At 44.0% G+C, this 15,268-nt stretch overlaps 1 annotated feature.

The window, feature by feature from the left end:
• Positions 13,402 to 14,340: an enhancer, noted in NCBI's record as "H3K27ac-H3K4me1 hESC enhancer chr9:4762929-4763867 (GRCh37/hg19 assembly coordinates)". NCBI's record gives its function as "activates a minimal SCP1, AML or CMV promoter by ChIP-STARR-seq in naive and primed H9 embryonic stem cells {active_cell/tissue: H9 hESC(naive and primed)}" and the evidence as "EXISTENCE:reporter gene assay evidence [ECO:0000049][PMID:30033119]".

Consider the following 15,268-nt stretch of genomic DNA (forward strand, 5'->3'; position numbering starts at 1 on the left):
TCAAATTCTGCTGATAGGTAGGACTGAGAACTGATTGAAAATTATTTCTAGGCTGGGCACAGTGGCTCACGCCTGTAACCCCAGTACTTTGGGAGGCCGAAGTGGGCAGATCAGAAGGTCAGGAGTTTGAGACCAGCCTGGCCAGCATGGTGAAACCCTGTCTCCACTAAAAATACAAAAAATTAGCCAGGCATGGTGGCGCCTGCCTGTAGTCCCAGCTACTCAGGAGGCTGGGGCAGGAGAATCGCTTGAACCTGGCAGGTGGAGGTTGCAGTGAGCTGAGATCGTGCCACTCTACTCCAACCTGGGTGACAGAATGAGACTGTCTCAAAAAAAAAAAAAAAAAAAGGAAAAAGAGAAAAAAGAAAATTACTTCTAGTTGTCAAAAAAAACCCCTTATGAAATAAATTACATTTCATTTACAATTTATAGATTTAAAAAATGAGGATAATTTTGCCCCAAATTCCATAACTATTCAGCAGCTAAATTAGTGATTTCAAATTGTACTGGATGCATATAGGAAATGCTTTCTCTGAGGAGAAACTTCTGGGAGTAGAATTCAAATTATCCAGACAAGGATATTAGAGAAAAAAGAAAGATAAGGTCTAGACAAAAGTCAAGGAACAGAACAGAGAAGGTGGAACTCAGATACTACAATGTCATATTGTTTAACACTTTGCAAAAGAAACAGAAGAGGGCGCCTTAGAGCTAAGACAATTTTATTAGGACGTTCACTTGGAAAGATAAATAAGAATATCTGAGAAAGCCCTAAGAAAGACGGACAATGAGGAAGCCTGTACCATAAGAAAATAATATTGACACATATTTTAGTTTATTCTATGTCCTCCTCACCCCACTTGGGTTACAGAATTCCATACCGACCACTCATCAGCCTGATATATGGACACTCTTATCTGGCTGGGGCTCTGATACTCTATGCTGGACCAGACCACCCCCTCCACAGACATCCTTCTCACCACTTCTGGGCTCTGACATCACAGGCCAGGCTGCTTATCGCTATGAGCATTCTACTCACTCTGTGCAGACTCCAAAACCCTGAGCCACACTGTACTGCCGTCTACATGGAGACATCTTCCTCACTCCACTCAGACTGGCACTTGTGCCGGGCAGCTGTCCTCTGCGGATGCCCTCTTCTTGCATATATTTTAAATGTAGACCCAACATGAGTCCCTGGTGGATTCTGTGCTGCTATAACAAAATATTGAGACTGGATAACTTATAATGAAAAAGAAACATATTGGCTCACAGTTCTGGTGGCTGAGAAGTCCAAGATCAGGTGCTAGCATCTGGTGGGAGAGAGAGAGAGAGGGAGAGAGAGACAAAGAGACCATGCCTGAAAGCCCCTTTATTAAGGCACTAAACCCACTCAGGAGGGTGGAGCCCCATGGGCCAAATACTTAACCAAAGATCCCACCTCCCAACACTGTCTCAATGGCATAAATTTCAACGTAAGTTTTGATGGGGACAAATGTTCAAACCCATGGCAGCACATGAATAAAACAGAATAGAAAAGCCAAAAATTTTAAAAAATAAGAAAACCCAAAAATAAACTTAATGACATCTGGAAGTCTAATAAGTGGTAAATATGCCATCTCAAATCAATAGAGAAAAAGAAGACCTTCTTAATAAATAGTCCTGTCATAAATGGGTAGCCAGTGGAAGAAGATACAATCTGTCTTAGTCTGTTTTCCGTTGCTATAACAGAATACCTCAGACTGAGTAATTTATAAAGAAAATAAGCTTACTTAGCTCGTGATTCTGGGGGCTGGGAAGTCCAAGAGCAGGGTGCCAGCATCTGGTAAGGGCCTTCCTACTACATCATAATATGACAGAGTGCATCACATGGCAAGAGAGCAAGAGCATGTCAACCTCTCAGGTCTCTGGTCTTCTTATAAAGCCACCAGTCCCATTATGGAGGCCCTACCCTGATGACTTTATCTAATCCTAATTATCTCCCAAAGGCCCCACATCCAAATGCCACCAATCTATAAATTTGGGAGTTACATTTCCAACACATGAAATTAGGAGGACATGTTCAAACAAGAGCACCATCATATCTGTTTTTCCACTTAAGATAAATTCCAATGGATCAAATATCTAATTTTTTGAAAGAAGTAAAGCTATATAAATACTAGAAGAAAATATGATGAAAATTTTCTATAATCAAGAAATTGGAAACACTTTTCTAACTCTAACTCAAAATCCAGATGCAATACAGGAAAAGACCAAAATTGGAGGTATACAAAACAACAATAACATTTTTGCATAGCAAAAGACATCATAAGCAAAATTAAAAGATAAATGACAAACCGGGAATATGATTTCCAATTTATGTCATAGACAATGGGTTAATGTCCAGTAATGTGTTCTTCCCGGGAGTGGGGGTCAGGAGGATGTTATCGCATTTGCCAATTTCCATAGAGTAAATACTCCACCATAGCCAGTGTTAACTTGCCAATGTAATATCAGCTGCACTAATGCTACATCAGCGGGACTGCAAAATTCCTAAAAATTTAACAGTCAGCACTTGCAAGCTGGCACTAGCCAGCTTTAGCACACTGCTGCAAATATTCCTAATATATGATGGGCTTCTAAAGATGGAGAAGGGAAGGAAACCCATCCTATGGAAGATAGGCAAGAGATACAAACACTTTGCAGTTCACACACACACACAAAATGAAAATAAAGGACCTTTAAATATATGAAAATGTTGAATCGTACTACCCGTAAAATAAATGCAAATTTAAACTAAAATGAGATGCCATTTTTCAACTATCAGATTGGGAGAAAATCTCAAAGTTCAACAATATAATGTGTTTACCAGGCGGTGAGGAAAGAGGCACTCATATTTTGCTGGTGGGAATGCAAAAAATGGTACCATCCATGAGGAGGGTGTCAGCCTTAAGAATGAAACTGAGGTAAAATTAGTATAAATCAAAAGTGTATTTGGGCCAAATTCGAGTACTTTAATTTCGGAAATGTATGTTCAAGTTGCCCTGAAATATATGCTCCAATTAGCAGCAGTTACAAGTGGGTTTCCAAAGGAAAAAATGGGGTGGTTCCTAAATTGAACATGAGCTATTGGTTGGCTATACATTATTCTTTATATCACTAATCCCAAGAACATGAATATAATGGGTGAAGGCCACATAGTGCAATTTATGATAGCATTTTAGGTAATTTATCAGCTAGTCTGGAAACTACAAGGAAGGAAAGAAAAAACTAAATGCCATTAACCAGGCTGGGTGCAGTGGCTTATGCCTGTAATCCCAGCACTTTGGGAGTGTGAGGCGGGTGGATCACTTGAAGCCAGGACTTTGAGAACCAGCCTGGCCAACAAGGTGAAACCCCATCTCTACGAAAGAATACAAAAATTAGCCAGGTGTGGTGGTATGCACCTGTAATTACAGCTCCTCGGGAGTCTGAGGCACAAGAATTGCTTAAACCCAGAAGGCAGAGATTACAGTGAGCTGAGATGTCGTCACTGCACTCCAATCTGGGTGACAGAGCAATACTCTGTATCAAAAAAAAAAAAGAGAGAGAGAGAGAGAGGGAAGGAAAGAAAGAGAAAGGAAGAAAAAAAAGAAAGAAAGAAAGAAAAGAAAAGAAAAGAAAAGAAAAGAAAAGAAAAGAAAAAAGAAATTGCCTTTAAGCAGCTGCCCTGGTGAGGGAGAGGATGACACCTGGGAAAGGGGGCAGGCTGTGATTGAAGACTCATTCTTTTTTTTTTTTTTTTTTCTTTTCAAGACAGAGTCTCCCTGTGTCACCCAGGCTGGAGTGCACAGGTGCGATCTTGGCTCAGTGTAACCTCCGCCGCCCGGGTTCAAGCGATTCTCCTACCTCAGCCTCCAGAGTAGCTGGGATTACAGGCACCTGCCACCACGCCCGGCTAATTTTTTTATTTTTAGTGAAGACAGGGTTTCACCATGTTGGCCAGGCTAGTATTGAACTCCTGACCTCAGGTGATCCACCTGCCTTGGCCTCCCAAATTGCTGGGATTATAGGCATGAGCCACCATGCCTGGCCTGAAGACTCATTGTCATGTCTCTCTGGTCCTAATAAATTTTACATACGTCACATTCTTCAGACTGCTCTGAGCTACTTTTCTTTCTCAAGGGAAATTTGGCAAAATCTAGCAAAATTTTATATACCATTTACCAATTGATCCATCTATCTCAAAAATACAAAAAGACATATACATAAGATTATTCAGTGAGCACTACTTTTAATAGTAAGAGACTAGAAACATCCCCAAAGTTCATTCAGCACAGAATGATTGAATAAAACTGAGATTCATTAACATAGTAAAATACTGTGCACTTGTAGAACCCATAAGAAATATCTGTGGCATGACTGCCAGTGAAAAAAGTAGGGTGGCAAAAAATAAAGGTAATATCCTACCGTTTAACTAAAGGGAGAAGAGGATATGAATAGATCCTTATACTTACATTTTTTAAACCAGAAGAACAAGCCAGGCAAGGTGGCTCATGCCTGTAATTCCAGCATTTTGGGAGGCTGAGGTAGGTGGATCACCTGAGCTCACGAGTTGGAGACCAGCCTGGGTGGCATGGTGAAACCCCATCTCTACCAAAAATACAAAAATTAGCCGGGCATGGTGGTGTGCATCTGTAGTCCCAGCTACTCAAGAGGGTGAAGTGGGAGGATGGTTTGAGCCTGGGAGGCAGAGAAATAGAAAAATAAAATGAAAATGAACAACAAAAAACCCTGACTACCAGGCTGGGCGTGGTGGCTCACGCCTGTAATCCCAGCACTTTGGGAGGCCAAGGCAAGCGGATCACCTGAGAGTTTAAGACCAGCTTGACCAACATTGAGAAACCCTGTCTCTACTAAAAACACAAAAGTAGCTGGGCATGGTGGCACATGCCTGTAATTCCAGCTACTCAGGAGGCTGAGGCAGGAGAATAGCTTGAACCCAGGAGGTGGAGGTTGCAGTGAGCAGAGATCGCACCATTACACTCCAGCCTGGGCAACAAGAGCAAAACTCCATCTCAAAAAACAAAACAAACAAACAAAAAAACCTTGATTACCTCTAGGAGGAGAAGGGAATAGAGAGCTGAGGCACAGGGATGGAGGCCATGTGTCTCTGAAGATTTCACTTTGTTAATTGTGCAACAAGGTTTCCTTCCTTCCTTTCTTCCTTCCTTCCTCTCTCTCTTCTTCTTTCTCTGTTTCTCTTTCTTTCTTTCTCTCTCTCTCTTTCTCTCTTTTTCTCTTTCTTTCCCTTCCTCCCTCCCTTCCTTTCTTTTTCTTTTTTTCTTTTTTTTTTTTTTTGAGACAAGATCTCACTCTGTCACCTAGGCTGGAGTGCAGTAGTGCAATCTTGGCTCACTGCAACCTCCACTTCCTGGGCTCAAGTGATCCCCCCCACCTCAGCTTCCCGAGTAGCTGGGACTACAGGTACGCACCATCATGCCCGGCTAATTTTTGTATATTCTGTAGAGAAGGAGTCTCGCTATGTTGCTTAGGCTGGTCCCAAACTCCTAAGCTCAAGCAATCCACCCGCCTTGGCCTCCCAAAGTGCTGTGATTACAGGTATGAGCCACCTCGTCAGGCCCATTTTCTAAAACATTTAAAAAAGCAACTCCTGAAAGTCAAAGGCAAAATAAAACAAATGAAACTGGTTGTGTAATGACCAGTTCTATTTTTATAAATTGTGACTGCTCTCTGATTAGCTCATAGAAATCTAAGTACAGGTAGTGGCTTCCTTTGTAATGGAGGTAACCCATGTTCTGAAGTTTTTTCTCTTGGAATTTTCTACAAATCTCACATATCTATTTTTGGCATTCCTGACAGATGTCAGATACCGTAACCTTGGCCATAAAGCATACTTCCTTGGTTAGTTTCTCTTAGCCTGAGGCATTGCTTGTCCTCTGATACAAAACTTCCCCCACCATAGCACTGACTTCCCTCCAGAAATGAGACATCACGTTATCCTATTAATGCCCCATTAATTCACAGGCTGTGGCCCATACAGGGCATTTCTATCCCAGATCCCACGTATAATGTGTTAACAGAAAAAAAAAACAAGCTGTAAAATGTTTTAAAGAGGTTTAATCTGAACCAATATGTGTGACCATGGCCCCTGGAAACACAGCCGCAAAGCAGTCCTGAGGAAGTGAGCCCAAGGTAGTTGGTGACAGTTTGGTTTTAGACATTTCAAGGAGACAGGGATTACAGGTAAAGACAAACCAATACATGGAAGATATATATTGGTTTGGCCTGAAAAGGTGAGATATCTTGAAGCAGGAGCTTACAGGTCATAGGCGGACTCAGATATTCTTTAATTTGCAATTGGGCTGGGTACAGCGGCTCATGCCTATAATCCCAGTACTTTGGGAGGCCAAAGCAGGAGGATGGCTTGAGCTCAGGAGTTCAAGACCAGCCTGGGCAATCTAGTGAGACTCCATCTCTACAAAAAATTTAAAAATTAGATTAGTGTGGTGACATGTGCCTGTAGTCCCAGCTACTCAGGAGGCTGAAATGGGAGGATCACTTGAGCCTAGGAGGTCAAGGCTGCAGTGATCACACCACTGCACTCTAGCCTAGGTAATGAAGTGACCCCTGTCTCAAAAAAAAGAAAAAAAAAAGAAAAAGAAAAATTGGAATTGGTTAAAGGAGTAAAGGTTTGTCTAAAAATTTGAAGTCCACAGAAAGGAACATTTAAGTCAAGAAAGTCTGGGTCAGAGTGACCTGCAGGGGTTTGTGACTTAACCCTTGTCGGGCATAGCCTCAGGTCCTGTTTATAATTTGGTATCTTATTTTCACAAAGAGTCCCTCTTGTTAAGTTTCATGATCTCTATTTTAACATGAATGCTGCGCATTTGTTGTGTCTAAACTGTAAAAGCGAGGGAGTATAATGAGGCGCGCCTGACCTCCCATCCCATCATGGCCAGGGACTCAGTTTTTCAGATTTCTCTTGGCCAAGAAAGAGTCCAATCCGTCAGCTGGGAAGCTTAGGATTTTATTTTTGGTTTACAAAGGTAATCATTTACTCCCATGAGGGTAATCGTCCTCCTTGAAATTCAAGAGTTTCCTGGATCACAGGATCTGCAGTTACACACAGCTGAGTTTGACTTTCACAGGCTGAGAGACCTTGAGCAAAATCATTAACCTCTTTTAGCTTCACCAGCCTGCCTCTATGAAACAGGGGAAGGATAATACCTGCCCTATGGGGTTGTTGCAAGATTTAAATAAGATTATATATGTGTCAAAGGACAAAATTACAGCAAATTTAAAGAGCTCACCTGGTTTTAATTGTGATTCTAGAGTCGGACAACACTTCATTCTGTAAAACAGAATAAGTGTTCTAGGAGCTGAGAAAGGGCTGAATTACAGACAGGGAAAGGTGAAGAAAGCAGAGGCAAAGAACGGTGTGTATCAGGCATTGCAAAGCTGCTTTCCTGTGAGGAGGAGACAGAACAATAGAAAAATAACTGATGAGCTAACATCAGGTTACTGCAGGCTACTTCTTTTAGGTAGGAATTAAAGCAGAAGGCACTTCATTATCCTGCCAATTGAAGATTGGCCTATTTGGAAAATTGGCTATTATCTCTTTCTTCGGATTTCTAGGAAGGTCAGATAACAATTTAGTTTGGGTTTGGTGACATGGATGTGGAAATTCTTTTTAGTCTGGTCTGCTGGGGCCTAGTGCAGAAACTTAGTCTAAAACAGTGACCTCTTATAATTTTTATGTCGCATATGTAAAATGCTAGGTATATACTGGTTGCTCCCTCTCTTTTTTTGCTCTGCTTATCTTTTCTTCTCTCCTTCCTTCCCACCATCTTTTCAATGTAGTGACAAGTGTTATTAAAAAAAAAAACAAAGCAAAGGATAATGTAAATCTGCAGACAAAAAAAAAAAACAGTGTCTCTTTTCAGTCAATATTTGCAACTTCCACCTCATTAAATATTCTCTCACAGTAGAATAAGGTGGCAAAGAAATGAAGTGCAAATTAGCCTAAGGTAGCTGAGTCCTCATCCTGGTTTCATCACTAATTAGTTCTACAGACCCTGGCAAGCACTTGACCTTTCTGATCCACGCTTGTCTCAATAGCATAATGAAGATCATGCCTGTCTCAGAGGGACAGTGAGGCTCCTGTTGTTGGCATGCCTTATCATTATGTAAATGGAGGGCCTTGTATACAAATAATCTCTTCAGACAAATTGTGTAATATGACATTGAAATTATCCTTCTCTTTACCTCTATCCCCCATCTTTGGCTCCAGTTTTTAAAGACTGCTATTAAAAGACAAATACATTAGCACATTAAGATATTGTCACCTAGCAATAACTTTTTAAAAGTTAATTAATCATATTAGTCACAGCAGACAGCAGAGCCACTATGCTTTGGGCACAGGGAGGTTGGGATTTGGATGGGATGGGAAAGGAATCCAGAATAATCTGGCTCTTGGCTCATGATGCTCTCAAAGAAAACTCCTGTACAGAAAGTGGGGGAAGGAGCCTCCAGACAAACCCTGCCCTCTTTGCAGTTTTGCTTCAGGCTTGTAATTCACTTTTCCTGAGAATGGCATGGAATTTGTGGATAAGCAGGTGAAAAACCATTCTTATCAAGTGTGGAGGGAAAAGAAAAGGTTTTGTTTGTTTGTTTGTTTGTTTTAAGACAGTCTTGCTCTGTCACCCCGCTCAGTGCAAACATGGCTCACTGCAGCCTCAACCTCCTGGGCTCAAGTGATCCTCTCACCTCAGTCTCTCCAGTACCTGGGACCACAGGTGCCTGATACCACACCCAGCTAATTTCTAATTTAGTAGCGGTGGGGTCTTGACATGTTGCCCAGGCTGGTCTCAAACTCCTGAGCTCAAACAATCTGCCTGCCTTGGCCTCCCAAAGTGTTGCGATTACAGGCGCAAGTCACTGATAAAAGATAAATTTTTAATCTGAGAAATATGAACCCCTTTACATTATCAGGCCCAGAGAGGCATTGGGATGTAACTGCAGTCACATCTCACTCCTTCTCGAGCTGAATAATGATCTCTTGAAGTCTCTTGCTATGAAGACTCTAGACTAACTGATGCCAATTAGCCATGAAATGCCATACACCCTATAGTTCAACAAAGTCTAGCCAATCACTAATCAGTGTTATTTCTGTAAGCCAATGAGAAATCCTAATGATCAATTTTGTAATTGCCCCCTCTCCTGATTCGTCTTATATTCTTTAAACATTCGAGGCTCTCTTTTTGTTCTTGGGAGCACTCTCCAAGGCAACTTGAAAGTGTGTCCCAGGCTGCAGTTCTCAACCTTGACCCCAATAAACTCTCTATATTAATTTCGCCTCAGCTTCTTCCTTTTAGGTCCACAGAAGCGTCAATTGGCCAGAAAAAAAAAAAAGAAAAGAAAACAAAAGAAAAAGAAAAGTAATAAACTCTGTTAGAAGCTAGGCTGGGCGCGGTGGCTCACGCCTGTAATCCCAGCACTTTGGGAGGCCGAGGCAGGTGGATCACCTGAGGTCGGAGTTCGAGACCAGCCTGGCCAACATGGTAAAACCCCATCTCTACTAAAAAATACAAAAAATAGTTGGGCGTGGTGGTGGACAGCTGTAATCCCAGCTACTCGGGATGCTGAGGAAGGAGAATCACTTGAACCCAGGAGGTGGAGGTTGTAGTGAGCCGAGATCGTGCCATTGCACTCCAGCCTGGGCAACAAGAGCGAAACTCAAAAAAAAAAAAATCATCTGGCCTAAATATCTTGGCTGGAGTCTCCTGCAGGAAAGACCCACTGTGACTAATGGAGTCCCGAAGTGGGCATAGAAGGTCATGGTTGAGAATTCTAAGCTGCTGTGAAGATGCCAGGCCCAGTTTTATGACTTCCCTCTGGTTCTATGCCACCCTCCCCTCAAGGTCCCCTCCCTGAGATGCCTGAGGCTCGGACCCCACCAGGGATGAAGGCTGCCGCCAGCGTGTGTTGCAGTTCCTGCGCCGCACAGAAGGGGGCGCCATTCCTGCATTATTTCTCCCGACCTAACTCCGGTAACGCAGCTCCTAGTTGTAGGGCCTATCTTATATTCGTTTTACAGTGTTTATTTTTTTTCTTTTTTCTTTTCTTCTTTTCTTTTCTTTTTTTTTTTTTGAGACGGAGTCTCTGTCACGCAGGCTGTAGTGCAGTGGCGCGATGTCGGCTCACTGCCTTAGCCTCCCAAGTAGCTGGGATAACAGGTGCAGGCCACCACACCTGGCTAATTATTGTGTTTTTAGTAGGGACGGGGTTTCAACATGTTGGCCAGGCTGGTCTCGAACTCCTGACCTCAAGTGATCCACTCACCACCACCTCCCAAAGTGCTGGGATTACAGGCGTGAGCCATCGCTCCTGGCACATTTCACAGTTTCGAGAGCACTGTCTCATTTCACCCTTTAGACCAACCACGCAATGATTAAGGGCAGGCTCTATTATCCCTGTTCTACAGACAGAAAACAGAGACAGCCAGCTTAAGCGACAGTGTCAGACAATTCGGTAATTCGTTTGGTTCCTGACCAGTGCTTTTCCCACTCTGCTGTCCAGCATAAAACAGGGTTGTCAAGGACAACTGGGAAATGAACACAGACCCCAGAACTCCCTGACAAAAGGAGAGAAGACAGACTCCCTTATCCATGCCACACGATAGATGGCCTTGGGTACACTGCTTCTCTCGGGAGGTTTAGAAATCAAATTGAGTCTGCTCCTAGGTTCCAAACACAATTAAATTTAGCTTTGTTGGGTCATTCTGTGGTCAGGCTGTAAGTTCAGCTTGGTCAAGGGGAAGGAAGGGAATAAGCAGAAGCTGTGGGTTGGGCACCTGTCCTTTTGCCTACTCAGTGCCGCTCTTCTTGTGGACATAAAGACACCCATGTAACCCCTCATGGCTACAAGCTGGGAAAACTCTAAAATGATTGCTCTTTCAAAATTTTTTAACTGACAAATAAAAATTGTATATATTTATGGTGTCCCACATGATATTTGATATACGTCCACATTGTGGAATGGCAAAATCAATCTAATTAACATATACATTACCTCACATTTCTTTTTGTGTGTGGTGAGAACACTTAAAATCCACTCTCTTAGCAATTTTCTAGTATACAATACATTGTTACTAACTACAGTCTCCATGGATCTCTTGAACTTCTTCCTCCTGTGACATGAGCCACCATGCCTGGCCTCCTCTTTCCCTTTGTGTCTCTTGTTTTTTCTTTTTTTGAGACACGGTCTCACCCTGTTGCCCAGGCTGGAGTGCAGTGGTGCAATCTCAGCTCACTGCAACCTCCACCTCCTGGGTTCAAGCGATTCTCCTGCCTCAGCCTCCCAAGTAGCTGGGATTAGGGGTGAGCCACCGTGCCCAGGCTCCCTTTTGTGTCCCTTTTACTCTTCCTTGACCCACTGCCCCCAACCCTGTCCCTCCCTCTGTATACTCTTAGAAAATGACATCTGATCACCCAAGCCGGATGTCCTGCACCCTCAGCATTGCTGCCAAGAGAGATCTTCCAAAAATGCAGATCTTCTCAAGTCATTCTCCTGCTTAAAATTTCTGCATTCCCTGGATCTTTGGGGAGAAAGATAGCTTGGTATTCCAGGCACTTCGTTTTCCCTTTTTTTTTTTTTTTTTTTTTTTGAGACAGAGTCTTGCTCTGTCTCCCAGGCTGGAGTGCAGTGGTGCTATCTTGGCTCACTGCAACCTCTGCCTCCCGGATTCAAGTGATTCTCCTGCCTCAGCCTCCCGAGTAGCTGGGATTACAGGCGCCCACCACCACACCTGGCTAATTTTTGTATTTTTAGTAGAGACAGAGTTTTGCCGTGTTGGCCAGGCTGGTCTTGAAACTCCTGACCTCAAGGTAATCCTCCTGCCTTGGCCTCCCAAAGTGCTGGGATTACAGATGTGAGCCACTGTCCCTGGCCCCAGGCCCTTCATTTTCTGACACTGCCACATTCTCCTTCCTTCCAGCCTCCCACACTGCTCTCAGGGCCCATGGAGTTTCATGCCCTCTTAACTTCCATATTTTATGCCCTATGTATGATTCCCCTGCTCCCCTTCTTCATCTCACCAACTTTTATTCATCTAGAGTCTTACCTTCTGGGAAGCCTTCTCTATTCTTTTCCTTAGTCTGATTAGGCATCCCTTCTCTGTGTCCCTAGCAGACCTGTTCATACTTTGTGGCATTTGCCAGATTACATTGCAGTAACAATTCCAGACTGCAAATTCCAGTCTGCTTCTCCATCTTTAGTTCCTCTCAACATGTTATTTGTGAACTCTTTGTTTCAGAATCACCTGAGGAGTTTAAACACAAGCTCCTGGGACATACCCCAGACCCACCAACTCCGAGTCTTTGCAGGGCAGAGCCTAGGAGTCTGCATTTTAAAACTTTCTCAGCCAGGGGCGATGGCTCATGCCTGCAATCCCAGCACTTTGGGAGGCCTATACGGGCAGATTGCTTGAGTCCGGGGGTTCAACACCAGTATGTGTAACATGACGAAACCCTGTCTCTACGAAACAAAAACAAAACAAAAATTAGCCAGGCATAGTGGCTCCCGCCTGTGGTCCCAACTACCTGGGAGGCTGAGGCAGGAGGATTACCTGAGCCCACGAGGTCAAGGCTGCAGTGAACCGAGATTGCACCACTGCACTCCAGCCTGAGCAACTGAGCAAGGTCAAGTTTGAGAGCCACCACACTAGACAGGAAGTGGTCATATTTTCTTAGACCTTTAGCATCTACCATAAGCACACAGAGAATGGACTCTGAATGAAAGAGTCTAGAGCTTGAAAGGGAACTGAAATTTAAAAATAAAAAAGTGTGAAATGATGGCTGGGCACGGTGGCTCACGCTTGTAATTTCAGCACTTTGGGAGGCTGAAGCGGGCAGACCACGAGGTCAGGAGACCGAGACCACCCTGGCTAACACGGTGAAACCCCGTCTCTACTATAAATACAAAAAATTAGCTGGGCGTGGTGGCACACGCCTGTAGTCCCAGATACTCAGGAACCTGAGGCAGGAGACTCGCTTGAACCCGGGAGGCGGTGGTTGCAGGGAGCCGAGATCATGCCACTGCACTCCAGCCTTGGCGACAGAGCGAGACTCCATCACACACACACACACACAAAAAGGTGAAATGAGCAGCATAACGTTGGAATGACAGGTGACTATTTCCTGCCAAGATTCCAGTTGCCATCAGGTGGCGCTGTGTCAACAACAAATGCTTTTACCTGAAGCGAGGAGGAAGTTTGGTTGATTTACTCGAATTCAAGCCTCAAATACTACATAACTGAATTTATTTTTTCTTACTCCGTTTGTTTGCAATTGTCCCACTTGTATGAATACATTGATTTTTTTTTCTCACCTGGCCCAGAACAAAGCTGAGTAAATTGATTTCTTAAGGCATGAAGCCTTAGACAAGAAAAGCCGTGGAAGGAGGCTGGTGGCAGCAGACAGCTGGGCAGGTCATGAAGGTCAGGGGAAGGAAATTAGCAATTACCCTTATTTCCATCTTCAGTGAGGAAAACCTGCTCCCCACCAGCACTGCCTGTTGTGAAATTACCCAAGCATTCAAATGAATATGTCATTTCGCGAGGGTGGAGCCATCCTGTAATTTCTGTCATCCAGTTCCCTTTACGGGTTGTTAAATGTCTACGTGAGTAACCCTTGAATGTCGTTGCTCTCACAAACCAAAGTCTGGAAGCCCGAGTCTTTCTTCTGGGTTGAGTACTTTATTCTTCTGAGGTGTGGGAACTGAGGCACAGCAAAGGCCTGAGGCCCCACGGGCAACTCTTTCTCCCCCTCCTCCCTCCCCTCCGCGCAGGGCATCCCCGTGCACAGAACTGATAGAGCTGGCCTGGCTACTGGCAGACTATCAGGCCAGGCCAGAGCTGGAGGCTGAGCTGGTTTCCTCCGGGCAGGACAGAGCTTTCAGGCAGCGACCTCCTAGGAGGAAGGCGGGGGGAGGGTTTGCAGCCTTCCCTACTCTGGGCAGACAGAGGAATGTGGTGGACAGGAAAAAGGGGGAGGAGGCAGGACCTCTACTCTCAGCATAGACCCAGTCTCACTGAAGAGGCACTCTTTAAAGGCATCACAGAGTTTAAGAATAGTGCATGGTAGAAATAACTCTTAATTTCTGAATGACCAAGTATAAATGAAATGGAAGTGCTTAAAAGTAATAAGAGAAAAGCTATATAGTTCCTCTTTTCCTTCCTTGAAAAATCAGGTGCAAAAGTCATCAGGTGCAGGGTCGAGCAAGATAGGCAGCTATGAGTGGGGTGGAGGTGAGCTGTGGTGGCCGGAACCTGACCAGGATCAGAAAGCATACATTCAGGGGCAAGTCCAGGCCAGAGTGTCAGAACCCAATTGTGGTGAGGGGTGTCCCGGCAGAGAGGCAGTCTGCCACAGGGTGTTGGAGTCCCAGTGGGGAGAGAAAGGTATCTCCAAGGACATGTATGTAAATGTACAATATTAAGGATAATGGGAGCAAAGTTTCTCGCTGTTGGAGAAGACAGTTAACAAATCATTCCTGTAATCCCACCACATTAAGAGGCTGAGGCAGAAGGATTGTTTGAGGCCAGGAGTTTGAGACCAGCCTGGTCAACATAGCGAGATCCCGTCTCCACAGAAATTAAGAAAACATTAGCCAGGTGTGGTGGCATGCACCTGTATGCCATCTCAAGGAAAGAGGCTGAGGTGTGAGAATCACTTGAGCCCAGGAGATTGAGGCTGTACTACAGCCTGGGCAACTGAGCAAGACCCCATCTCAAAAAAATAAATTATGGACAGAAAACTAGAATGAAAACTGTGTTAGGTTGGAATGAGAAGTATTGGTATGAAGTCATGGTTTTCAATAAACAAACTAATAAGATCCATATTTTATTACGTATGTAGAGAAATATAAGGGTAAATGCATGTATGATTTTGTGTATGTGTGTACACACATCCTTATATTCCCTACTTCTGTGCCCTGAGAGGGCCTGAGATCAATGATGCCCAATACTGGTTTCTATTTATTTTATTTTTAAAAAATAGAGATGGAGTCAGGCTGGGCATGGTGGCTCATGCCTGTAATCCCAGCACTTTGGGAGGCCAAGGTGGGCAGATCACGAGGTCAGGAGTTCGAGACCAGCCTGGCCAACATGGTGAAACCCCGTCTCTACTAAAAATACAAAAAATTAGCTGGGAGTGCTGGCACGTGCTTGTAATCCCAGCTAATCGGGAGGCTGAAGCAGGAGAATAACTTGATCCCAGGAGGTGGAAGTTGCAGT

The sequence above is a fragment of the Homo sapiens genome, chromosome 9, assembly GCF_000001405.40.
Source record: "Homo sapiens chromosome 9, GRCh38.p14 Primary Assembly".
Taxonomy (NCBI): Eukaryota; Metazoa; Chordata; class Mammalia; order Primates; family Hominidae; genus Homo; species Homo sapiens.